General features: G+C 38.5%; 1 protein-coding gene across 8 annotated transcripts in view; it reads right to left on the reverse strand.

The window, feature by feature from the left end:
* The window catches only part of STAG1 (STAG1 cohesin complex component), a 416143-nt gene that overhangs the window by 65786 nt on the left and 324004 nt on the right, over positions 1-26353 (reverse strand). For all 8 annotated transcript variants that reach the window (XR_001739978.2, NM_005862.3, XM_047447229.1 and 5 more), the window contains 5 exons: positions 20931-21023; positions 20747-20836; positions 20389-20592; positions 19072-19142; positions 15864-15951 (listed from right to left, as the gene is read on the reverse strand). Coding sequence is in view for 7 of the 8 variants with exons in the window: in NM_005862.3 (NP_005853.2) it covers positions 15864-15951; positions 19072-19142; positions 20389-20592; positions 20747-20836; positions 20931-21023 (546 nt within the window). In the remaining variant the exon portion in view is untranslated. The remainder of the gene's footprint in view (positions 1-15863; positions 15952-19071; positions 19143-20388; positions 20593-20746; positions 20837-20930; positions 21024-26353) is intronic.

The raw sequence follows: 26353 nt of genomic DNA on the forward strand, positions 1-26353 counted from the left end.
GTGTGAGCCACCGCGCCCACCCAATATTCCATTATGTAATCAGTAAATTTATCTTGTGTCACTATGATCTTCCCCACTTGATAAACTACAAACCATAAAGGTAAACATATGTAGATAATAAGTTAAAAGGAAAATCAATAAGTAGAATGCTGCAGGAACTAGTTGAGAGTTAGAGCTGATTTTATTTTTTTAATTTAATTTAATTTTTTTGGGGGGGACAGAGTCTCACTCTGTCACCCAGGCTGGAGTGCAATGGTGTGGTCTTGGCTCACTGCAACCTCCTCCTCCCGGGTTCAAGTGATTCTCCCGCTTCAGCCACCTGAGTAGCTGGGACTACAGGTGCGTGCCACCACACCCGGCTAATCTTTGTATTTTCAGTAGAGATGGGGTTTCACTATGTTGGCCAGGCTGGTCTCGAACTCCTGAGCTCATGATCTGCCCACCTCAGCCTCCCACAGTGTTAGGATTACAGGTGTCAGCCACCGTGCCCGGCCTAGCTGATTTTACTTTAAAATTTTCAGGTTTCAGACCAGGCACAGTGGTTCACATCTGTAATCTCAGCATTTTGGCAGGCCGAGGCGGGTGGATCACCTGAGGTCAGGAGTTCAAGACCAGCCTGGCCAAGATGGTGAAACCCCGTCTCTACTAAAAATATAAAAAATTACCGGGTGTGGTGGCACATGCCTGTCTCAGCTACTTGGAGGCTGAGATATGAGAATCACTTTAACCCAGGAGGAGAAGGTTGCAGTGAGTCGAGATCATGCCACTGTACCCCAGCGTGGGTGACAGTGAGACTCTGTCTAAAAAAGAAAAAAAAATAATAAATTTTCAGGTTTCAGATCACTCAAGCAAAAGATACTTCCAATGTGCCTACTTGAGACTGACAATAACTCTTAAGAATTGGAGGTATGAGGAATGACCTGGTCCTGGGTGCAGTGGCTCACGCCTGTAATCCCAGCACTTTGGGAGGCCGAGGTGAGTGGATCACCTGAGGTCAGGAGTTCTAGACCAGCCTGGCCAACATGGCAAAACCCTGTCTCTACTAAAAATACAAAAATTAGCTAAGCATGGTGGCACATGCCTGTATTCCTGGTTACTAAGGAGGCTGAGGCAGGAGAATGACTTGAACCTGGGAGGCAGAGGTTTTATGAGTCAAGATCACACCAATGCACTCTAGCCTGGGCGACAGAGTGAGACTGTCTTAAAAAAAAAAAAAAAAAAAAAAAAAAAAAGAAAAGAAAAGAAAAAAAAAAGAAAAAGGAAAAGGGAAGAAAAAAAGAATTAGAGGAATAAGTGGTGCGCTGCCTTTGGTGCAAAATTAATGAGATGATGTCAGGATTTTATTAAACATAATTAAATGATTGACTCATGTCAGAATGCAGAAAATAGACTACTGGAACATTGTCAAGTTATAAACATTAGTGCTAAAAAAATTACCCTAATACACTAGAAGATGTTCAATGGTCCTGAGATACCTTAAGGTAAATTCTAAATTATAATATTAAGTACAATAATAATGAGGTCTGAATGGAAAAGACAAGATTTGAATTTGAAACAACCCTATCTGTTAAATTACTAGAAGAGTGATATATAAATTAATAGTAATCAATGGGAAATTAAGCTGGAAAAGAGTAATGTTGAAGAATTGCTTTATTTTGGTTATGTCATTGTCCTACTCATTATAAATATCACTTCCTTTCCTTCTACTTTTCTATTATTCTACACTATAAATATTTCAGGCTGTTTCATAGTTTTAAAGAAGTTTCTTGTCAGGGGTTATGAGGGAACAGAGACACTTGGCCATCCCATTACCTGTTTCAAATATAGAATTTCCATTCTAATCTGTTTCACACATTGGTATTCCTTTTAAGTTTACTTTTAAAGGGACTCCACTGCATTACCTTAAAATAAAAAGCTTGCTCTTATTGACTTGGAAACATTCTGCTTTCTCGCAGACATAATTCTATAACAATATAGCTTATCAGACACCATTTAGAACTTCTCCTGTCAAGCTTCACTCTTAGCCATTTTGATATTTTGTCCTCCACACCAGCAATGTTATCCTAACTTGTCCAGAAATCATTGTTCAGTAACTTCGTCTTTCTGGAGGACAAATGACACAAGAAACAAGGAACAAAAAATTGAAAAAGGCAAAAGCCACTGTTGCAACCTTGAGTACCATACTCTTTCTGCCTTGGATTAACATTGCTCTGAGCCTGGAGAGGATCATCAAATGACAGCAAGTCATTATTAGTCTGATGACTAATAATTTCTTCCAACCCATCTTCTCTGCCCTCCTGTTTCCATGAGGAAATGGTGTTCCTAGGAGGAAACGCTAATGTGTATTGCACATTTCTAGGCAAATTAACAAGTAGGAGTGCCTTTTCTATCTTTTTATCTTCTCCTGTCTGCCAGGACACCAATACCCCATGAAAACTTCGGTCCCTGAATGACTGGGGAGAGCAATTAACACCCTACTCCCCCTAATGATACTTTACGGTTATGGGTGTGAGAAATAAATTTCTATGTGTTAAGCCACTCAGATTTTGAAATTAACTGATTATAGCAGCCAGCACTACTTTAATCAAAATAAAATTGTTATTAGTCCCTTTCCTTAATAGTTCTTTAAAAGAACTATACCTTTTTATCTCTGACTAGCTGGCTGAATCAGTGAGAATCATTCAGCTTGTGGCTAATGACAGATATCACACATCTTGAAGATTAATTTTCTAATTAATGTAAAGCTTCTGGAATGTTTAAGTTTAGAAAACTGAGTTTACCTGGAAAACAAAGTCTGAATTAAGACTAGAGAATAATAGTAAGGAAAATAATTATGCATATATGTGTGTGTGTGTGTGTGTGTGTGTGTGTATACATGCATATTACCCACACCTATAGGACATGTTTAAAAACCTAAAAATCCACGTAATGACAGTGGAAAATCTGGGCTCTTCTATTTTTCTGTTGGCAAGAGACCTTAAATAGAAGGAGGCTCAAACTTTTTAGTGGACATGTGCATGATAAAAGAGTGAACTAAACTTAATTGTGTCTGATAGCCAATATTGGTCTATCATTTTTAGACTGGGTTAATATGAGCGACAATTAACATCCTCTTCAAAAAATGAGCATTTAGATGCAAATAAATAATCAATATGGCTTTCCCAAAGAGGATATAAGGCTGGCAAATAAATAAACACATGAAAAAACCTCTTTTTTTTTTTTTTTTTTTTTTTTTTTTCAGACGAAGTCTCACTCTGTTGCCCAGGCTGGAGTGCAGTGGCATGATCTCGGCTCACTGCAACCTCCATCTCCCAGGTTCAGTGAATTCTTGTGCATCAGCTTTCCGAGTAGCTAGGATTACAGATGTGTGCTACCATGCCCAGCTAATTTTTATATTTTTAGTAGAGACAGGGTTTCACCATGTTGGCCAGGCTGGTCTCAAACTCCTGGGCTCAAACGATCTGCCTGTATCGACCTCTCAAAGTGCTGGGATTATAGACATAGGACACCGCGTCCAGCCTCAACATCTTTAGTATTAGGAAAAATATGTTAGGCCAGGTGTGGTGGTTCATGCCTGTACTCCCAGCACTTTGGGAGGCCCAGGTGGGTGGACAGCTTGAGCCCACAAGTTCAAGACCAGCCTGGGCAATGTGGTGAACCCCGTTTCTATTAAAAATACAAAAAATTAGCTGGGTGTGGTGGCAGGTGTCTGTAATCCCAGATTGTGCCACTGCGCTCCAGCCTGGGTGACAGAATGAGACTCTATCTCCAAAAAAAAAAAAAAAAAAAAAAAAAAAAAAGGAAAAATGTTAAAAGCATGATGAGATACCACTATATACTTAGAAGGATGGCTAAAGTAAAGATTATCAAGTACCAATGACGATACACAATAACTGAAGCTCATACATTGTTAGCAGGAATGCAGAATGGTACAGCCACTCTGGAAAATGGTTTGACAGTTTCTAATAAAGTTAAATATATAATTACCATAAAACCTAGCAATTTTACTCTGGGGCATTTACTTAATAGAAATGAGTACTTATGAATTCAGACAAAAATTTGCATACAAATGTTCATGACAGACTTAATTGTGATAGCCAAATACTGGACACAACTCAATGTCCTTCAGTAGCCGGATGGATAAAGCAAACTGAAGTATCCACACAGTGGAATATTACTCAGCAGTAAAAAGGAACCAACTTTGACTCACACAACTTGAATTAATGTCAAAAACATTACTTTCAGGAAGATATTATGCTCAGTGAAAGACATGCTCTCAACGGTTACATGCTGTATGATTTCATTTATTTGGAAATCTTAGAAAGATGAAACTATAGTAATGAAAAACAAATCACTGATGTCCAGGAGCTTCAGTTGGGGTGAGCATATGACTATAAAAGGATAGCATGAAGAAGTCTTCTGGGATGATGAAACTGTTATGTATCTTGATTATGGTGATGACTACAAAAATCTAAACACATTAAAATTCATAAGACTGTACATAAATAAAAAATTAGTCATTTTTATTGTATAATAATTCAAAATAATATGGCAGAGTAAAATTCACTGTAACATTTTTAAGGAAATATTAAGAAATACATAAACACTGATGCAAATCCTCAGTGATATAAAGTAGCAAACGATTGAGTAAAGAGAAAAGATTAATAAATTCTAGGAAATAGGGGATTGATTATCCAATCAATGTACTGTATTATTAGCAGGATGCTATATCATAAGTTAAAAAAATAAAAAATATCATTAGAAGCGTGAAAAACTCAAGTAAAAAATTCAAGCAGTAAAAGGTTAACTTCCGTGATTAAAGAATTAAAAGATTTCCCAAAGAATGGATACGAAGCAGGCTAATGCACATTAATCCTTGGCAATTCAAGACTCTGAAATTTTATTGTCAAGCTTACATATAAATTCCAAATATTGGAAACAAGGAAGTGTAAAAAGAAAAATCACATATTAACAGTGTGGTGTAGAGATTATATTCTCTTTTTGCAATCTCTTTTTTTTTTTGAGACAGAGTTTTGCTCTTGTTGCCCAGGCTGGAGCGCAGTTGCGCAATCTCAGCTCACTGCAACCTCGGCCTCTGGGGTTCAAGCGATTCTCCTGCCTCAGCCTCCTGAGTAGCTGGGATTACAGGCATGTGCCACCATGCCTGGCTAATTTTGTATTTTTAGTAAAGACAGCATTTTGCCATACTGGCCAGGCTGGTCTCGAACTCTTGACCTCAGGTGATCACCTGCCTCGGCCTCCCAAAGTGCTGGGATTACAGGCGTAAGCCACTGTGCCCAGCCTCTTTCATTAATGTTTTATACTTTTCAGCATACAGATCTTGCACATACTTTGTTAGATTTATACCTAAGTATTTCATGTTTTTGGCACTACTGTAAATAATACATTTCATAATATTTCATTTTTCAATCGTTCATTGCTAAATAATTATTTTCTTGAGACAGAGTCTCACTCTGTGACCCAGACTGGAGTACAATGGTGCGATCTTGGCTCACTGCAACCTCTGCCTCCCAGGTTCAAGTCATTCTCATGCCTCAGCCTCTCAAGTAGCTGGGATTACAGGTGTATGCCACCATGCCGAGCTAATTTTTGTATTTTTAGTAGAGACAGAGTTTCATCATGTTGGACAAGCTGGTCTCGAACTCCTGACCTCAGGTGATCTGCCCACCTCAGCCTCCCAAAGTGTTGGGATTACAAGCATGAGTCACTGTGACTGGACTGTATTTTAATTTAAAAAGCATTAGACAGGAGGCTGAGGCAGTGGAATCACTTGAACCTAGGAGGTGGAGGTTGCAGTGAGCCGAGATCACGCCACTGCACTCCAGCCTGGGCGACAGAGCAAGACTCTGTCTCCAAAAAAAAAAAAAAAGCATTAGATGTGCATGGTAAAATATCCAACAGTATAACTGGTGTACAATTCAAGTTAACTTTCTTCCTCTAGTTTTCCACTGAGAAAGCCACTGTTCATAGTTTCTTATGAAACATCCAAAAATATATTTCAACTAAATGTATGTATATATAAATCTTCTCATCATCCTTTATCCTTCTGTATTTAACTGGTTCTCTGTAGATGAACATGTAGAATGTTTTAAATTTTAAATATTCATAAATGCTACAATGAACATATTTGCATCTATGCCTCTGTACACACATCCAAGTGTATATTTATAATCTAAATTCCTGGAACCACAAATCCTCAGAGAAAGGTATGTCCACTTTCAATTCTGATAGAGATTGGCAAGTAATCTACACATACAACAGTATTTGAGAGAAGTCAGGTATTTTTTAAAAAACATTATCAGAGTTTCTCATGGATACACATAGTTAAGAGTTACTGTAACAGAACCTAGAATGGAGAGAGGGTGAAACTGAAGTTACTAAAACAGAAAGGTTCTGATGTGATCCACAAAAGAAAGTATTAGGTTGGTAAAAAAGTTACTGTGTTTTTTTTTTGCCATTAAAAGTAACAGCAAAAACCACAATTACTTTTGCACCAACCCATAAGGGATTAAACTAAAGATATGGTAGTGGGGCTAAAAGAGTACGGCAAGAAGATATTCAGAAGGTAGAATTTATAAAAAACAATCAAGAGTCTCATGAGATTAAGGATTGCTTGTAGCACACCATTATATCCTCAGGACTTGGCACTCAAATGCATTTTTGGTAAATAATGACAAGGTAGACAGCAAGTAGGATGTACAGTGTGTGTGCTGATGAAGAAAAGGGAGGCATTAACCTAGATTCATGTCTTTTTGACTTAGAAGTCTAGACAGATAAAAAATGGATAGAAGAATACTAAAAGGTTTTTATATAGTATGATCAAGGAATAATCAGAAGTATGTAACTAAAATAATTTCTAAGCTCAGTCATGGAAATAAGTGTGTAGTCTTCTAAGAATAGCATGACTCTATCAATATAAATAACATAAATAGTAAGTCACAAGCCAGGTGCGGTGCCTCACACCTGTAATCCCAGCACTTTGGGAGGCCGAGGCGGGTGGATCACAGAGGTCAGGAGTTTGAGACCAGCCTGGCTAACATGGTGAAACCCTGTTTCTATTAAAAATATAAAAATTGGCTTGCCGTGGTGGCGGGCACTGTAGTTCCAGCTACTCGGGAGGCAGAGGCAGGAGAATTGGTTGAACCTGGGAGGCGGAGGTTGCAGTGAGCCAAGATCGCACCACTACTCTCCAGCCTGGGTGACAGCACAAGACTCTGTCTCCAAAAAACAAATTAAAATAAAAGTAAATAAATAATAAGTCACAATCTATCCAAAAACCAATAACCACTATTGGTTCAAATGTGACTATTTTTTTTTCCTTTGAGACAGTCTCATCCAGGATGGAGTGCAGTGGCATGATTTCGGCTCACTGCAACCTCTGCCTCCCAGGTACAAGAGATCCTCCCATCTTAGCCTCCCGAGTAGCTGGGATTACAGGAGCACGCCACTATGCTCAGCTAATTTTTGTATTTTTAGTATAGATGGGGTTTTGCCATGTTGCCCAGGCTGGTCTCAAACTCCTGGCCTGAAGTCATCCACCTGCCTTTGCCTCCCAAAATGACAGGATTACAGCTGTGAGTCACTGTGCCCAGCCAAAATGTGACTACATTGAAACTCGCCCCCTACATTACACTCAGTCTGAAGAATGTGTTCATGTCTAGTTCATGATGATGTATTAAATACTAGCATCTAATCTCTCCCCATTAACTGCCATTAAAACAACCTAAAAAGATATCTGAAAAAAGATAAATTCAGCTGGGTGTTGTGGCTTATGTCTGTAATGCCAGTATTTTGGTTGGCAGTGGTGGGAGGATCCCATTTGAGCCCAGGATTCCAGACCAGCCTGGGCAACATAGCGAGACCCCATCTCTATGAAATATTTCTTTTAAAAAATTAGCTGCGGTGTGGTGGTGCAAGCCTGTGGTCCCAGCTCCTTGGGAGGCTGAGGGCCTGGGAGGTAGAGGATGCAGTGAACTGTGATTGTGCCACTGCCCTCCAATCTGTGCAACAGGGAAAGTCCTTGTCTAAAAAAAAAAAAAAAAAAAAAAGATAAATACAAAAAATAAGAGTTTGCTGGCCGGGCATGGTGGCTCATGCCTGGAATCCCAGAACTCTGGGAGGCCAAGGCAGGCAGATCACCTGAGGTCAGGAGTTCAAGACCAGCCTGGCCAACATGGTGAAATCCTGTCTCTACTAAAAATACAAAAATTATCTCGGTGTGGTGGCGGGCTCCTGTAATCCCAGCTACTTGGGAGGCTGAGGCAGGAGAATTGCCTGAACCCGGGAAGTGGAGGTTGCCTGCAGTGAGCTGAGATCACACCACTACACTCCAGCCTGGGCAACAGAGCAAGACTCTGTTTGAAAATAAAAAGTTTGCCCTAAGACCAACATCAGAAGGCAAGGATAAAGTGGAAGAGTAGTGCAAGCTACCACAAACAACACATTAGTAGAAGAAAATGGGAAGAGACAATGAAAACAATTAAAAAACTTGGATTTGAGTGGGTGCGCCACTGCTATGTGACCTAAGGCTAGTTATTTAGTATCTCTGGTTTCATCATCAACAAAATGAAAATAATGAAACATATGTAAAGACTTAAAATGAAACAAATGTAAAGACTTAAAAAGACTTAAATGTAAAAGACTTAAAATACACCAGCCTGGTGGCTCCCTCCTGTAATCTCAGCACTTTGGGAGGCCAAGGTGGGTGGATCACTTGAGGTCAGGAGCTTGAGACCAGCCTGGTCAACATAGTGAAATTTCATCTCTACTAAAAATACAAAAATTAGCTGGGGACGGTGGCACATGCCTGTCATCCCAGCTATTTGGGAGGCTGAGGCATGAGAATCTCTTGAAAATACAAAAATTAGCTGGGCACGGTGGCATATGCCTGTCATCCCAGCTACCTGGGAGGCTGAAGCATGAGAATTGTTTGAACCCAGGAGGTGGAGGTTGCAGTGAGCTGAGATTGCATCACTGCACTCCAGCTTGGGCAGACAAGCGGGGAGCTTAAAATAGTACCTTGTATGTAAGAGCAAAATAAAAGTTTTCTATCCTGATGACTTGAGAGGCCCAAAGTTAGTGATACATGATTATACTTCATTTTTATGGGTGTAGTCGCACAATTTTGTTCTATGGCAAATACTATTTACAAAAACACCTGTAAATGATCGATTGGTTTTCCATTTTTAGAATCTACTGAGGGTTGTACAAACTATAAAGCAGGAAATTAATATTTTATTTTTCCAGAAAATATTTCATCTTTCAAATGGTTTCATGAAAAAAATAAAAAATAAAATAAAAAATTATTTTTCTTAGAGGTTATCTGGGATGATATTTAAATTTAAAACTATACCAACAGAAAATAGGAACAAAGTCACAAAACAGAATAGAATTTAAATATACCTTGACTTTATTCTACAAAAGTGGGTATAAGAGATATTACAATAAATTCTGAAATGTGTGCTTTTCACAAGCTAATGATTATTGTTGTTACACAACTGCAATCACTTTTAGTACTTTTCATAGATTAAAAATAATTCATTAGCACAGAAAAGGGCATAAGCAGACCCTGAAACATATTCGTGTGTCAGAAAGGATGGAGATGCTTAAAAAATAATAATAATAAAGGTCAGGTGTGGTGGCTCACATCTGTAATCCCAGCACTTTGGGAGGCCAAGGCAGGTGGATCACAAGGTCAGGAGTTCAAGACCAGTCTGTCCAAGATGGTGAAATCCCATATCTACCAATACAAAAATTAGCCGGGCGTGGTGGTGGGTGCCTGTAATCCCAGCTACTTGGGAGGCTGAGGCAGAGAATTGCTTGAACCCGGGAGGCGGAGGTTGCAGTGAGCCAAGATCACAAAAGCCTCCTGAGTAGTTGGGATTACAGGCATGGACCACCACGCCCGGCTAATTGTGTATTTTTAGTAGAGAGAGCATTTTGCCATATTGGCCTGGGTGACAGAACGAGACTTCGTCTAAAAAACAAACAAACAAACAAACAAAATCTAACGTACATAGGAACTGGATTGAAAGGAACTCCCACTGGCCAAATCTGCTACAATTTGAGAACCAAAATAAAAAAAGAGTACTGATTTACAACTTGTCAAATAAAACAGAAATAAAATAGGTATCCATGAGTCTACAGTGATACCAATTTTTTTTAAAAGGAATTCAGAACTGTAAAAAGTGAGTGAATGAATGAATAAATGGAGAAAGGAAAGTTCTTCCTTACAGTAGAGTGCCAACTAAGAAATACAAAATAAACGACAGAGTTAGAAAATCATCATTTTAGTCACTACTCTGTGACCCTCACAGTAATAACTGAGTCAGGCAAAGATCATAAATCGGTACTAAAACTATTATGTCAGAGTCTGATAAGAAACAGGATTATTACATAGTTTTAAAGAATACGTCTACAGCTCACTTCAGTAATTAAAAAGGACACTGCTAACTACACAGGAGAAACTTTGCAGACCTCACTTTAGTCAGTGATCAGAGTTAATAATATGAATAATGAACAAACTGACATCACGTGCCTCCTGATGTGATGCATTGAGGACAAAATATCATTTATGTAGTAGTCCTGCCAAGAATGTGAAACTAAAATTTAAACATGCAGATCAGACAAAACTCAAGTAAGAACATTCTGTAAAATAACTAGTCTATACTCTTCAAAATGTCATGAAACAAAAAGGCTCAGAAACAATTCCAGGTTAAAGGAGACAAAAACAAATGTAACAACTAAATGCAATGCATTATTCTGCATTGGTCCTAGGCTGAAAAAAAATTGTTAAAGGTTGGGGTGGTTGTGACAATTTTTTCTTTTTTTTTTTTTTGAGACCGAATCTTGTTCTATCACCCAGGCTGGAGTGCAGTGGCGTAAATCTCAGCTCACTGCAACCTCCTGTTCCTGGGTTCAAGTGATTCGAGTGCCTCAGCCCCCTAAGTAGCTGGGATTACAGGGACGTGCCACCACACCTGGCTACTTTTTTGTATTTTTAGTACAGACAGGGTTTTGCCATGTAGGCCAGGCTGGTCTCGAACTCCTGACCTCAAGTGATCTACCCACCTCGGTCTACCAAAGTGCTGGGATTGCAAGTGTGAGCCACCTTGCCTGGCCTAATATATATTTTATATATGCATATTAACATGTGTAACACACACATTATATATTATATATAATTTATATAATGTATACTATATATAATATATATCGTATATTACATATCGTATACAATATATATCGTATACAATATATATTATATATACATAGTGTCTAAGTGCGGAAATCTGGGAAAATATTGAAAATGGATTAGGTGAATTTTCTGTAACATGTCTATAATTTGATTGTTTTTTAAATTTATTTTAAAAAATTATTAGAATACGTAATTTCTTTTTGATCTGCCACATATTATTATTATTATTTTTTTTTGAGATGGAGTTTTGCTCTTGTTGCCCAGGCTGGAGTGCAATGGCGTGATCTTGGCTCACCGCAACCTCTGCCTCCCAGGTGCAAGCGATTCTCCTGACTCAGCCTCCCGAGTAGTTGAAATTACAGACATGTGCCACCATGCCCAGCTAATTTTGTATTTTTAGTAGAGGCAGCATTTTGCCATATTGGCCAGGCTGGTCTCGAACTTCTGGTCTTATGTGATCTGCCTGCCTCAGTCTCCCAAAATGCTTGGATTACAGGTGTGTGCCACCATGCCTGGTCAGTCTTCCACATATTCTAAAACTACTATGGTTAAAACAGTACTGATATGATAAAAGATAAATCACTAGGAGGAGAAAAAATATACAAATACATAGGTGTACCCTGAATATAGCGCAAGTTTACTCCCAGACCATCACAAAAAAGCAAATATTGTAATAAAGCAAGTCACAAAACCTTTGGTTTCGCAGTGCATATAAAAGTGTGCAATAGCATTATGTCTGAAAAAACAATGTACATAGCTTAACTAAAAAATGTAATACTTTATTGCTAGAAAATGCTAATGATCACCTGACTCTTCAGTGAGTCATAATTTTTTCAGTGGTGGAGGGTCTTGCTTGAAATGTTGATGGCTGCTGACTTAACAGGGTCGTTGTTGAAGGTTGGGGTGACTATGGCAATTTCTCAAGATGACAGTGAAGTTTGCTGCATCAATTGATTCTTCCTTTCATAAAAGATTTCTCTGTAGCATGTGATGCTGTTTGACAACATTTTCTCCACAGACCTTCTTTCAAAACTGGAGACAACCCTCTCCCACCCTTGTCACTGCTTTATCAACTAAGTTTATGTAATATCCTAAATCCTTCGTTGTCATTTTAACAATGTTCACAGCATCTTCACTAGGACTAAATACCATCTCTTTCATTGCTCATCCGTAAGAATTAACTCCTCATCTCTTCAAGTTTGAGCAGGAGATAGCAGCAACTCAGGCAAATTTTCTGGCTCCACTTCTAATTCTAGCTCTCTTGCTATCTCCACTACATCTGGGTGACTTCCTCCACTTGTCTTAACCCCTCAAAGTCATCCATGAACACTGATATCAACTTCTTCCAAACTCCTGTTAATGTTGATAGTTGGACCTCCTCCCATGAATCACTAATTTCTTAATGGTATCTAGAATGGTGAATCCTTCCCAGAAGTTTCTCAATTTTCTTGCCCAGATGCATCAACAGAGTCACTTTCTATGGCAGCCACAAGGCTTATGCAATGTTTTTTCTTAAATAATTAAGGCTTGAAAGTAAAAATTACTTCTGTTGTGTTAACAGTCATGAAAAATGAGAGAAGTGTGACTCTTCCACTTGAACATTAAGGAACATTGTAGAGTTATTAAGTGGCCTAATTTCAATATTGTTTTGTCTCAGGGAATAGGGAGGCCTGTGAGGGAAAGGGATCAGGGAAGGGCCTGTCAATGGAGCAGTCAAAACACACATAACATTGATGGATTAGGTCCACCATCTTATGTGGGTACAGTTCATGGTGCCCCAAAACAATTACAATAGAACATCAAAGATTACTGATCACCAATCACCATAGCAGATTTAATACTAATGAAAAAGTCTGAAATAACCAAGATTTACCAAAATGTGACACAGAAACACTAAGTCAGCATATGCTGTTGGGAAAATGGCACTGATAGCCTTGCTTGATGCAGGGTTGCCACAAACCTTCAATTTGAAAAAAACCACGCAATAAAGCAAAGCACAATAAAATGAGGTCTGCTTGTGTAACAATTCAGTGAAGGAAGGAACTAGGAACTTCTAGTTGAATTGGTTATTATAAAAAAAAAACAAAAGACAAACAAAAAAGTCAAACATATAGCTAATATAATCTCCCCAAACAGCTAGACAGTTTTAAGGTATCTTCAAAACATTAAGCACAACTGAGGGTCAACAGTAATAAATATTTTGGTAGCTCTTCAGTATCCCTGCTCCAAAAGGTATTTTCTCTGAATTCTTATTGTAAGTACACAGTTGGAACCTTAAAAAGTGAGCTTGCATGGTTGTATTAAGAAGTGGTTGAGGGCCGGGTGCGGTGGCTCATGCCTGAAATCCCAACACTTTGGGAAGCCAAGGCAAGCAGGTCACTTGAGGTCAGGAGTTCAAGACAGCCTGGCCAACATGGGGAAACCTCGTCTCCACTAAAACCCAAAAATTAGCCCAGCGTGGTGACGCAGCTACTCAGGCGGCCGAGGCGGAAGAATCGCTTGAACCCAGGAAGCGGAGGTCACAGTGAGCTGAGACCACGCCACTGTACTCCAGCCTGGGTGACAGAGCGAGACTCGGTCTCAAACAAACAAACAAAAAAGAAGTGGTTAAATACAGAATTTCTGTATTTTCAACAGTATCTTAAGAGATATTTCTCAGAGCTGCTAAAATGAACAAGAGTACAATCTAGTCATATTTGAGTCATGCACTCAAACTTCATACACATGGTTAAAAATACGTGTTCAAGAAATTAACAAAGTTAAAGCCATAAAACTTTTTTTTTTTTTGAGACGGAGTCTTGCTCATCGCCCAGGCTGGAGTGCAGTGGTACAATCTCTGCTCACTGCAACCTCTACCTACTGGGTTCCAGTGATTCTCCTGCCTCAGCCTCCCGAGTAGCTGGGACTACAGGTGCCCGCCACCGTGCCTGGCTAATTTTTGTATTTTTAGTAGAGATGGGGTTTTGCCATATTGGCCAGGTTGGTCTCAAACTCCTGGCCTTGTGATCCGCCCACCTTGGCCTCCCAAAGTGCTGGGATTACAGGTGTGAGCCACCGCGCCCAGCCCCTAAAGCCACAAAACTTTTAATGTCACATAAGTATGTACTTTTATCCAACAATAAAAATGGAGGAAATAAGACATATGCAATGAACATAAGCAACAGAAAACCAAAATAACAAAGACGACAACACTGTGAAGCTGTCACAAGTCAGTACTAGCACAATAATGATGGTATAGTAAGTCTAAAAATTTTGACACAGTAGATGAAACAGAGATGTACTCTTATTCTCTCCCTGGAGAAAATGGAGAAAAGGATAAAAAGAATATCTTAACTCTCTCATTCACTTTCAACTTAGAAGCATGGCTTGAAAATATGAGTGAATTTTATTTAGGTTGCTGGTCTGAGATGAAGAGAGGATGGGAAGTTGATGTCAGCAATACATTTTAAAAAAGAGAGGGTAAAATATTTAGTGTCTTTTCACAAACTACAATAAAAACACCTAATATAATCAGGGACATTTGTAGGGACCAAGAAAATGACTAATGTTAGGCAATTTAAATGAATTAATCACAGCAATAATAAAGTACTGTTTTCATAATTAACTTTTTTTTTTTTTTTTTTTGAGACAGAGTCTCACTCTGTCACCAAGGCTGAAGTGCAGTGGCACCATCTTGGCTCACTCCAACCTCCGTCTCCCAGGTTCAAGCGATTCTCCAGCCTCAGCCTCCCAAGTAGCTGGGGACTACAGGCGCATGCCACTGCATCTGGCTAATTTTTTTATTTTTAGTAGAGATGGGGTTTCACCATGTTGGCCAGGCTGGTCTCGAACTTCTGACCTCAGGTGATCCACCCTGCCTTGGCTTCCCAAAAGGCTGGAATTATAGGCGTGAACCACTGTGCCCAGCCCATGATTAATTTTTAATATAAGATTATTATTGTATCTGTTGAAATTCTTACTGCTTTAGAGTAATAAGGTATCATCTAAGCATTCTATACTACCAAATGGAAATGAATGAGATAACCCCTAAATATTACCTACACTTAATGATGGAGATGATATTTTGGTCTACATGAATATCTGCAGTGTACAAAATAACTCCTTCCTTTCTCATACTGAATCAAGTAGAGTAATTATTCTACTGAAGTCTCTTTCAGATTAGGCAAAGTTTGTTGAATTTCTGCCCCTTCTACTCTAACTTGTATATATGAGTGTACAAAGTTCTAAAGTCTATTAAAGGCTGCCATGTTAATTTAACTATGGTTCTAATATAAAAACTAAGCCATACTTAATATGATTAATACCTAGAACACGGCTGGAATATACCCATCATCAATTTTCATTATCCAAAGTTTTAAAATTGCTGCCATAGATATTAATGGTATTTCTCCTAATAGAGAAAAGTCTACCTTAACAGTAAAATTTTTAAGATATGTTATAGCAAAAGTTTTTTCTACTCTTAACACATAAGCCAGTATAATACACCTATCAATAACATTTAATTACTACAGCAATAATTCTCTCAAAAGAGGCAGCTGCCCTAATGAATCGTCAATTACTTTCTATAAAAGGCTTCTGATAATCATATGACTTCAGAAAAACAACTTTCTAGAGTCATACAGAAGGAATACCAATAAACTCCTACCTGTTCTGGCATGGCTCCATGTTCAATTCCAGTCTTCAATAATCTGTAGCAATTACCAAAGAGATCCCATTTTGTGAGATCATGTGCACTGAAATAAACAAAAATGCATCTGTTTTATTCTAGAATGGAAGGAAATTTAAATTTGAGCTCAGTTCAGGTGAGTGGAAGAATAAAATAATTTCATTTCGGCTGGGCACACTGGCTCACGCCTGTAATCCCAGCACTCTGGAAGGCCGCGGCTGGCAAATCACTTGAGGTCAGGAGTTCGAGACCAGCCTGGCCAACATGGTGAAACCCTGTCTCTATTAAAAATACACACAAAAAAATTAGCTGGGCATGGTGGCGCATGACTGTAGTCCCAGCTACTCGGGAGGCTGAGGCAGGAGAATCACTTGAACCCAGGACACGGAGGTTGCAGTGAGCCAAGATTGCGCCACTGCACTCCAGCCTGGGTAACTGAGCAAGACTCTGTCTCCAAAAAAAAAAAAAAAAAAAAAAAAAAAAAAAAAAAAAAAAGGTTTTTTTCATTTCCTTGCAGAATTGAAAAAGATCCATAAAGGAAATACTCATTAAATGCTCAAATTTGAAAGAAAGGTAGAAAGGAAAAGGAAAGAAAGAGATGATTCTATGAATTTATTAAAGAAATCAACAAAAAAATAAAACCTGACATATTTAATTGAAAATTTCTACCACATGGTCAAGCTAAGCTTATATTCTATTCCATATATGGATAAAATCCCTTTATTGTATATATAATAGTATTTTTTTTTTTTAAAAGACAGGGTCTCGCTCCGTCGCCCAGGCTGAAGTGAAGTGGCAAGATCTTGGCTCACTGCAACCTCCGCCTCCCGGGTTCAAGAGATTCTCATGCCTCAGCCTCCTGAGTAGCTGGGACTACAGGTGTGCGCCATGACACCTGGCTGATTTTTGTATTTTTGTAGACATGGGGTTTCACTATGTTGGCCAGGCTGGTCTTGAACTCCTGGACTCAAGAGATCCACCCGCCATGGTGTCCCAAAGTGCTGGGATTATAGGTGTGAGCCACCGCGTCAGGCCTATTTAAAAGTACATTTTAAAGAACTCCATTTACAATTTAAAAATATAACCACATGTGTATTTTTAAAAGAGATTTGTATTTTCAAAATGGAGATAAAGATAAAACTCGGGGAAAGGAAAAATGGGAAAGCTCAAAAACTGCATTATAGCTATTTACTTGGGCTGAGGACTTATGAATGTGATAATGGTAAATTTTTATATTCTCATGGGCTCTACTACTAAAAATAGTCATTCTGACACTAGTAACTTCTGTTTTCAAATGACAGTTTTTTAAAAAAATAAAAGTTTGCTTTTCTAGGGAATTCTAAAAAAAATTTACTTGTATATAAAGGCTTAGATTTTGGAAACTGCTTTTGAATTTTGAAGTACTGATTAGTGCAAAAGCTATATTCAAACTCTCTTTGGACAACAAAGTTCTTTTTGTCCTTTCTTCATGGAGAAGACCGGCATATCTCATTACAATGCAAGTGAAAATTACAATTTGACAACACAAATTTCAGCCACCGCACCCAGCCTTTTTTTTTTAAAGAGAGAGTCTTGCTCTGTTGCCCTGAGGTGCAGTGGTGTAATCTTGGCTCTCTACAATCTCTGCCTCCTGGGTTCAAGCGATTCTCGTGCCATAGCCCCAAGAGTAGCTGGGAATACAGGCGTGTGCCACCATGCCCGGCTAATTTTTGTGTGTGTTTTTTTTTTTTTTTTTTTAGCAGAGATGGGGTTTTGCCATCTTGGCCAGGCTGGTCTTGAACCCCTGGGCTCAAGTGATCCACCTATCTCAACCTCCCAAAGTGCTGAGATTACAGGCATAAGCCACCATGCCTGGTCCCAAATCTTATTTCTTACTTATTAAGAGCAAGATTTCTAAAAGCTATCATTTGAAAATTATACCTGTAGCACTCTAGTGATAAAATAAGCCTAATTTGTTAAATACTCATGGGCTGAAACTTTTACAGTATATATTCATTACATTAAGTGATAGCTAAATCATTACAGTAAATAAATTTTATACCTTAAGTAATTAAATGATAGGCCAGGCACAGTGACTCACGTCTGTAATCCCAGCACTTTGGGAGGCCGAGTGCCAGTGGATTGCTTGAGGTCAGGAGTTCAAGACCAGCCTGGCCAACATGGTGAAACCATCTCTATTAAAAATATAAAAATTAGCTGAGCAAGGTGGTGTACACCTGTGGTCCCAGCTACTCGAGAGGCTAAGGCATAAGAATCACTTAAGCCTGGAAGGCGGCAGTTGCAGTGAGCCGAGATCGGGCCACTACATTCCAGTCTGGGCGACAGAGTGAGACTCTGTCAAAAAAAAAAAAAAAAAAAAAAAAGTAATTCAGTGATAGCAAAACATAATCATCTAGAGAAAACTGAATAAAGGAAAAACATATCTCAATATTCTCTAAAATTCCCATTTTTTAAAAAACAACTATTTTGTTTTAATTGAGATAGGGTCTGCCTATTGCCCAGGCTGGTCTCAAACTCGTGGGGCTCAAGCAATCCACCTCCCTTGGCTTCCCAAAGTGCTGGGATTATAAGGTGTGAGTCATCACACCAGGCCTAAAATTCCCATTGTTATTAATGTCAAACACAACAATCAGTCAGTGTATGTTGGCTGTTACATGTCATTCACTAAATCTATTTTATCTTTTTGTTGTTACTGAGATCAGATCTCACTATACTGCCCATGCTGAAGTGCAGTGGCTATTCACAGGTACGATCATGGGCCAGTGTCATGATCAAGTGCAGCCTTGAACTCCTGGGCTCAAGTGATCTTCCTTCCTCAACCTCCCAAGTGGCTGGGACCATAGCTGTGTGCTTACACACCTGGGTTACTACATTTACTTGATTTATTTATTTTTTGAGACAGCCTGTTGCCCAGGCTAGAGTGCAGAGGCACGATCTCGGCTCACGACAACCCCCACCTCCTGGGTTCAAGCGATTCTCCTGCTTCTCCTGCCTCAGCCTCCTGAGTAGCTGGGACCACAGGTGGACACTCTCATGCCCAATTTTTGTATTTTTTGTACAGACAGGGTTTCGCCAGGCTGGTCTCCAATTCATGGCCTCAAGCAATCTGCCCATCTCGGCCTCTCAAAGTGTTGGGGTTACAGGCATGAGCCACCTCGTTGCCTTTACTTTAAATAAAATAACGTACTTGTGAAAAGAAGTTAACCGCTTTAATGTAGAAAGAACATTGTAAATGTCATCATCATCAGCTTCTTCTCCCTATAAAAAAAGGAAACATCACATCATTACAACTTTACTCACCTTATAGTATATTACTACTTATTGCCTAAATAAAAATTCTTCTAAATTATATTAATAGTATATATTCATTGTAGATCCATAATACAAATAAGCAAAAAGGCAAAAACACCCATAACTCTAACAACCTAGAAATAATTTCTGCATTTTAAATAATGTTGTGATAAACATGACTTTGAAAAGTTTTCTGATACTATAGATAAAACCCTTTAAAATTTCTAAGAGAAAAATGTACTTGAAAGATTTTCAATGATTTCCAATATTTTATTTATTGTCAGTCACTTTTGTAGCTTGAAAATCACAAGGAAAATCATAAATAATGGTTGAAAAAAACTGGTAAGTTTCAATAGTAGGAAAGAGTCTTTTATAAATCAGTTACATGGTCATCAGAGCACAGAGAACTATGGAAATTCCAGACTGCCTTATATAGATTGATGAGAGAGAGGGAAAGAGGAAGAAGTCACAGAAATAATTAGAAAATAAGCAATTGGAGATGTTTGCTGATATCTTGGGCATACCATTGATAAGCAGGCATCCTTAAAAGTAGACTTAATTTGTACGCTCTATTCATTAGCATATCACAATAATTCAGCAATATTAAAATGTAAATTAGGTCCCAGAAATAGAAAATGAGTTAGGAAAAATTAGACTTTAAAGAGATTTTTTTGCCCGATGTGGTGGCTCATGCCTGTAATCCCAGCACTTTGGGAGGCTGAGGTGGGCGGATCACTTGAGATCAGGAGTTCACCAGCCTGGTCAATATGGTGAAAACCCATTTCTACTAAAAATAAAAAAACAGCCAAGCGTGGTGACAGGTGCCTGTAATCCCAGCTACTCAAGAGGCTGAGGCAGGAGAATCACTTGAACCTGGGAGGCGGAGGTTGCGGTGAGCAACGAACTGAGATCGTGCCACTGCACTCTAGCCTGGGTGACAAAGCAAGACTCTGCCTCAAAAAAAAAAAAAAAAAAAAATTTCTTGAAAGAGAAAAGAAATTCTAGTTTTTATGACAGATTTTTAGAATAAAAATAAGGCATAACCAAGGCTGATCTTTATAGAATACACAATTGTAATAAGGTTGCTAAGTTTTGGAAGGGGCAGACAATTCTACTCAATTTCATTTTAAAATGAAAATGATTTACACACTCAGCTATCTTAAGTAATTCTCAGTCAATATTATTATATGTACACATTAACTTTAGAACAGACCTCTTGCAATAGGTCTTCCACAGAATGATTGAATCGATCTACAAACTCATCAATCAGCTGGCTTCGAGCTATGTCAACTCTGTTCTGGATGGTATATTCTTCACTGCATAAGATACTATAGGTTTTACTGCAGGCTTCTAGAACATCTGATTCTACGTGTTTCTCCACAACAAACTTAATCTGTTTTAATAAAGCATCCAGATGCTGAGGAGACAAAAAAAGAAAAACTGTAATATTTAGGTTAACAATAAAAAATAAAAAATTAGCATCTGTCAAATAACAAGTCTATAAGAGTACATGAAAATAATTCAGTTAATAAAACTATAACAGCTGAATTTCAATTTCATAATATCATTACCTTTTCCATTCTACCTGTGCTGTAGATTTCTAAATCAAAATACTGTGGGATTTGTAGCAAGTTTGCTACCTTCTCTGCATCTGCAGAATACTAGAAGGAGAAGCAAAGAAAAAGACAGTAACTACTTTAATAGTACAATGAAAGCAAACTCAGTGACATAACAAAACTGTAAATGAAACTGTACCTTTGACAGTAACATAGGAAGTGTAATAATAAAATGTTCAGTCAATTTGTTTCTATCATCAATTTGAGTTTTCCTTTCTTTGGCAGTTAGCACCTAGAAACAAAATCGGAAAAGAAGAAGAGTATTGTGTTAAATTATAAATCCAAACTGTTACATATATTGATGAAGCACTGGCAAATAATATAACCACAAATTTTAAGAGAAACTTAATGACTGAAATAAACACAAGAAAGTTTATGCAAATTTTTACATAACATGCACTACTACCTTATCAAACAGCTAAAGTCTGGGCGAATTACTATTTGTTTATGTCAAATAAAAATATATACATATTAATAAAACCATAGTTACCATTATTAAAATACTGAAACCAATCAATACCCAATTTTTCTAGGGTTTTAATCTCAGTGTGTTAACAGTGATCTTCCTATGTTAAATATACACACACTTTTTAAAGTAACGCCTTTTAAATACCAACAGAAGCTAACACATTCTCACTTATTTTTAAAGCACACACTAATAATATCTCTGGATTCATTTACATTTGAGTCTCCTTGTAACTAAACTCACAAATCTGTTAAACAGCTATCAAGAAAAAAGAGTATAGTTTGTGCTCATGGAACAAATTTAAGCTGCTAATGCTCATCACTTTAGCCTGTATCCAACATGTGAAACCACAGGTGATTCCAAAAATAAAATATTAAAATGTAAGTTCAGTTTAACATAATCATTTCCCCTAAGTATTCTGCATTTTATTATCTTGAAGGGATTTGCCATCATAATGTCAAATGGTTTTACGGAACAGAAACATTCCAATATAAATTGCCACTTCATAAATGTGAACCTCAATGTTTAAGAATATGTGCAAGAAGTAATAGCACTGCCTATTTGATTGTTCAGTCTTTTTTTTTTTTATTTTTTTTTATTTTTGAGACAGAGTCTTGCTCTGTCACCCAGGCTGGAGTGCAGTGGCACGATCTCGGCTCCCTGCAACCTCTGCCTCCTGGGTTCTAGTGATTCTCCTGCATCAGCCTCCTGAGTAGCTGGGACTATGGGTATGTCCTACCATGCATGGCTAATTTTTGTATTTTTGTAGAGATGGGGTTTCACCACGTTGACGAGGCTGGTCTCAAACTCCTGACCTCAAGTGATCCACCACGCCCGGCCTTGTTGTTCAATCTTTTAAGCATATAAAATAATCACTTTTGAATGATCTACCAACTACTGTGTTTACCTCTGCACAAAGCAATTAAGGGAACTACATGTATGTCTAGGAATGTATTCAATACATTGAAAAGTCTTGAAATTCATTTGACAATGTATGAAACATCTAAGGATACTGATTTTAGGGAAATGGCTATTTTTGATGGAACGATCTTTTTTTTTTTTTTTTTTTGAGACGAAGTCTTGTTGTGACACCCAGGCTGGAGTGCAATGGCGCGATATTGGCTCACTGCAACCTCCGCTTTGCTTCCTGGGTTTGAGCGATTCTCCTGCCTCAGCCTCCCAAGTAGCTGGGACTACAGGTGCGTACCACTAAGTCGGGCTAAGTTTTGTATTTTTGGTAGAGACGGGTTTTCACCATATTGGCCAGGCTGGTCCAACTCCTGACCGCAAGTGATCCGCCCACCTTGGCCTCCCAAAGTGCTGGAATTACAGGTGTGAGCCACTGCGCCCAGCCTGAGTGGTCATTTTGTTAGGCACTCTACATACATGAACTCATCTAGTCCTCAAAATACCTCTGAGGGGATAACAAAAATGGCATGATACCTATGAAGAAGGAATTTGCCAATATCTAACAAAATTGTATATATATTTTTCCTTTGACCTAGCAATACCAATTCTATCTCACCAACACACCTGGTACAAGTAATGAGATATGCATAAGATTATTCATTATTTCTTTTTTGATGGAGTCTCACTCTGTCGCCAGGCTAGAGTGCAGTGGTGCAATCTCGGCTCACCGCAACCTCTGACTCCCTGGTTCAAGAGATTCTCCTGCCTCAGCCTTCTGAGTAGCTGGGATTACAGGCACGCACCACCACACCTAGCTAATTTTTGTATTTTTAGTAGAGATGGGGTTTCATCATGTTGGCCAGGATGATCTCGATCTCCCGACCTCGTGATCTGCCCGCCCCGGCCTCCCAAAGTGTTGGGTTTACAGGCATGAGCCACCATGCCCAGCTGATTATTCATTATTTCTAGTAGCAAAAGACTAGCAACAGTACAAAAGACTGTGCGTAGGTGAACTTTCAGTAGTGCATCCACCTAATAGACACTATACAGCCAGAAGAAAATGAAGACCTCCAAATAAAGACATGGACTGATTTCCAGGATACACTGCTAAAAAAAGAAAGGTACAGAATAGTATATAAAGTATAGTATCTTTGGTAAAAGATTGGGGGGTGAGTGGGTGGAATGTGAAATATGAATATATATATCTGTATGTGTACATGCCTTTACCTATTTGTGCAAAATGAAACACCTGAAGAATAAACCAGAAACAAATAAAAATGGTTACTAATAAGAATGAGGTGTAGAGAAAGTTATATAAATAAGATTTCTCTGACTATATCTTTTCACATGGTTTTGACTTTTTAACTAATGTAAATGTTTTACCTATTTCAAAAAAATAAGTTTGGGAAAAAAACTCATAAATTCAAAGAGGTAAAAACTCTATTAGGCTAAATTTAGGTCAAATACCAATATGAATGTATGATTTAAATACGTGTATGTGTGTGTATGTATGTATGTATGTTTATATATATGTATATATATAAACATATATACATATACATATATATCTATAAAAGAAGAAGATATGTGAAAAGTGCAAGAAAGTAATTAAAAAATAAGATATGTGAAAAGGACAAGAAATTAGTATGAAGGGGCTTATCACTAGTCAAAGTTGGGATAGCATATACTTTAAAGACTATTAAGGAAAATTTCAGAAACACTCAAAAGCAGAACAATAACCATTAGCACTGTCATTCTTGTTTCATTAATTATCTCTCAGTTTTTTTTTTCTATGGCATTTTAGGGGAAATCCTTGTACATTTGTCCCTTGAACAACATAGTTTGGAACTACATGGTTCATTTATATGCAGATTTTTTTCAATAAACATATTGGAAAATTTTTTGGAGATTTGCAACAATTAAAAAAAAAAAACTTGTGGCCGGGCGCGGTGGCTCATGCCTGTAATCCCAGCACTTTGGGAGGCCGAGGCGGGCAGATCACGAGGTCAGGAGATCGAGACCATCCTGGCTAACACAGTGAAACCCCGTCTCTACTAAAAATACAAAAAAAAATTAGCTGCGTGAGGTGGCAGGTGCCTGTAGTCCCAGCTACTCTGGAGGCTGAGGCAAGAGAATGGCGTGAACCCCCAGGGGGCGGAGCCTGCAGTGAGCCGAGATCGCGCCACTGCACTCCAGCCTGGGCAATAGCGAGACTCCGTCTCAAAAACAAACAAACAAACAATAAAACTTGCAGACAAGCCATGTAGCCTAGAAATATTGGAAAACAAAAGCAAATTTAGACTCATCATGATGTATAAAATATATGTAGATATTTAACATTCACTACTATTAAATATATATGAATCTATTGTAAGAACTTAAAATTTATCAAAACTCACACACACACTTACAGATTGTACATGGCACCATTCGCACATGACAGCAATGTGAATAAAGATACAGTATCGTGGCTAGGAATGGTGGCTCACGCCTGTAATCCCAGAACTTTGGGAGGCTGAGACAGACAGATCACTAGACATCAGGAGTTCAAGAGCAGTTTGGCCAACATAATGAAACCCCATCTCTACTAAAAAATACCGGCTGAGCGTGGTGGCTCACGCATGTAATCCCAGCACTTTGGGAGGCCGAGGTGGGTGGATCATGAGGTCAGGAGATCGAGACCATCCTGGCTAACACGGTGAAACCCTGCCTCTACTAAAAATACAAAAATTAGCCAGGTGTGGCGCCTGTAGTCACAGTTACTTGTGAGGCTGAGGCAGGAGAATGGCATGAACCCAGGAGGCGCAGCTTGCAGTGAGCCGAGATCGCGCCACCGCACTCCAGCCTGGGCGACAGAGCGAGACTCGTCTCTTAAAAAAAAAAAAAAAAAAATTAGTGGGATGTGGTGGCAAGCGCATGTAATCCCAGCTGCTCAGGAAGCTGAGGCAGGAGAATCGCTTGAACCCGGGAGGCAGATGTTGAAGTGAGCCGAGATCACACTACTGCACTCCTGCCTGGGCAACAGAGCGAGACTCCAACTCAAAAAAAAAAAAAAGATATAGTATTAATCATAACTGTACAGAATTAACTTTAGCACACATTCTACTACAATAATATTGTACACATCTACTGTTGCTATTGCAGTGAGCTCAAGTATTGCCAAGTATTCACTAAAAAAGCCCCATGACACTAATCATCTTTGCATGAACAGTTGGTCTCTCCAGTGAATTGTGTATCATAGTCAAAAGTGATCTTGTGGTTCTCACTTACCATGTTTAGTGCCATACCATAAACCTTGAATAACATTATGGGACCCATATGTGCTACTAGTGATGCTGGAAGTGTTCCCAAGAAGCAGAGAAAAGTTATTACAAGAAAAAATTTAAAGAAAAAAATTAAATTGCTTGATATGTCTGCAGCTACAGTTGCCCACCATTTCAAGATAAATGAATCTGGTATAAGGACCATTGTAAAAAAAAAAAAAAAAAATTCTTAAAGCCATTACTGCTATACTAGCAGGTGCAAAAACCACTGTACCTTTTGCAAAATACCTTTTTATTTCACATTAGAAGTACAGCTTATATATGGGTGCAGAATTGCTATAAAAAAGGCACACCTATACTCATATGATTTTAAAAAAGTGAAGTCATATAATAACAACTTAAAGCCAAAGGAATGTGAAGGTTACAAAGCTGAGAATTTAAAGCCAGCAAAGGATAGTTTGATAATTTTAGAAAGAGGTTTCACTTTAAAAATGTCAAGAGAAGAGGAAAAACTGTTTCTGCTGACCAAGAGGCAGCTGACCACTCTCCAAGACGCCATTAAGAAAATCACTGAAGAAAAGGATATCTGCCTGCAAAGGTTTTTAATGCAGATCACAGTGCCCTATTCTGGAAAAAAAAAAAAAATGCCACAAAGGACACTTATTAGTAAGGAAGAGAGGTGAGTACCACTTTAAAGCAAGAAGAAATACACTAATCTACTCATTTGTGCAAATGAAGCTGGGTTTATGATCAGGACTGCCCTTATCTGTAAAGCTGCTAACTCTCAAAAGCCTTGAAGGGAAAAGATAAACATCAGCTGCCTGTCTTTTTTTGCCAGTAATGTCTAACAAGAAGGCCTGGACAACAAGGACCCCTTTTCTGGATTGGTTTACACTGACGCTGTAAAGTCCCTGAAGCCAGGAA

Source organism: Homo sapiens, chromosome 3 (genome assembly GCF_000001405.40).
Source record: "Homo sapiens chromosome 3, GRCh38.p14 Primary Assembly".
Classification (NCBI taxonomy): Eukaryota; Metazoa; Chordata; class Mammalia; order Primates; family Hominidae; genus Homo; species Homo sapiens.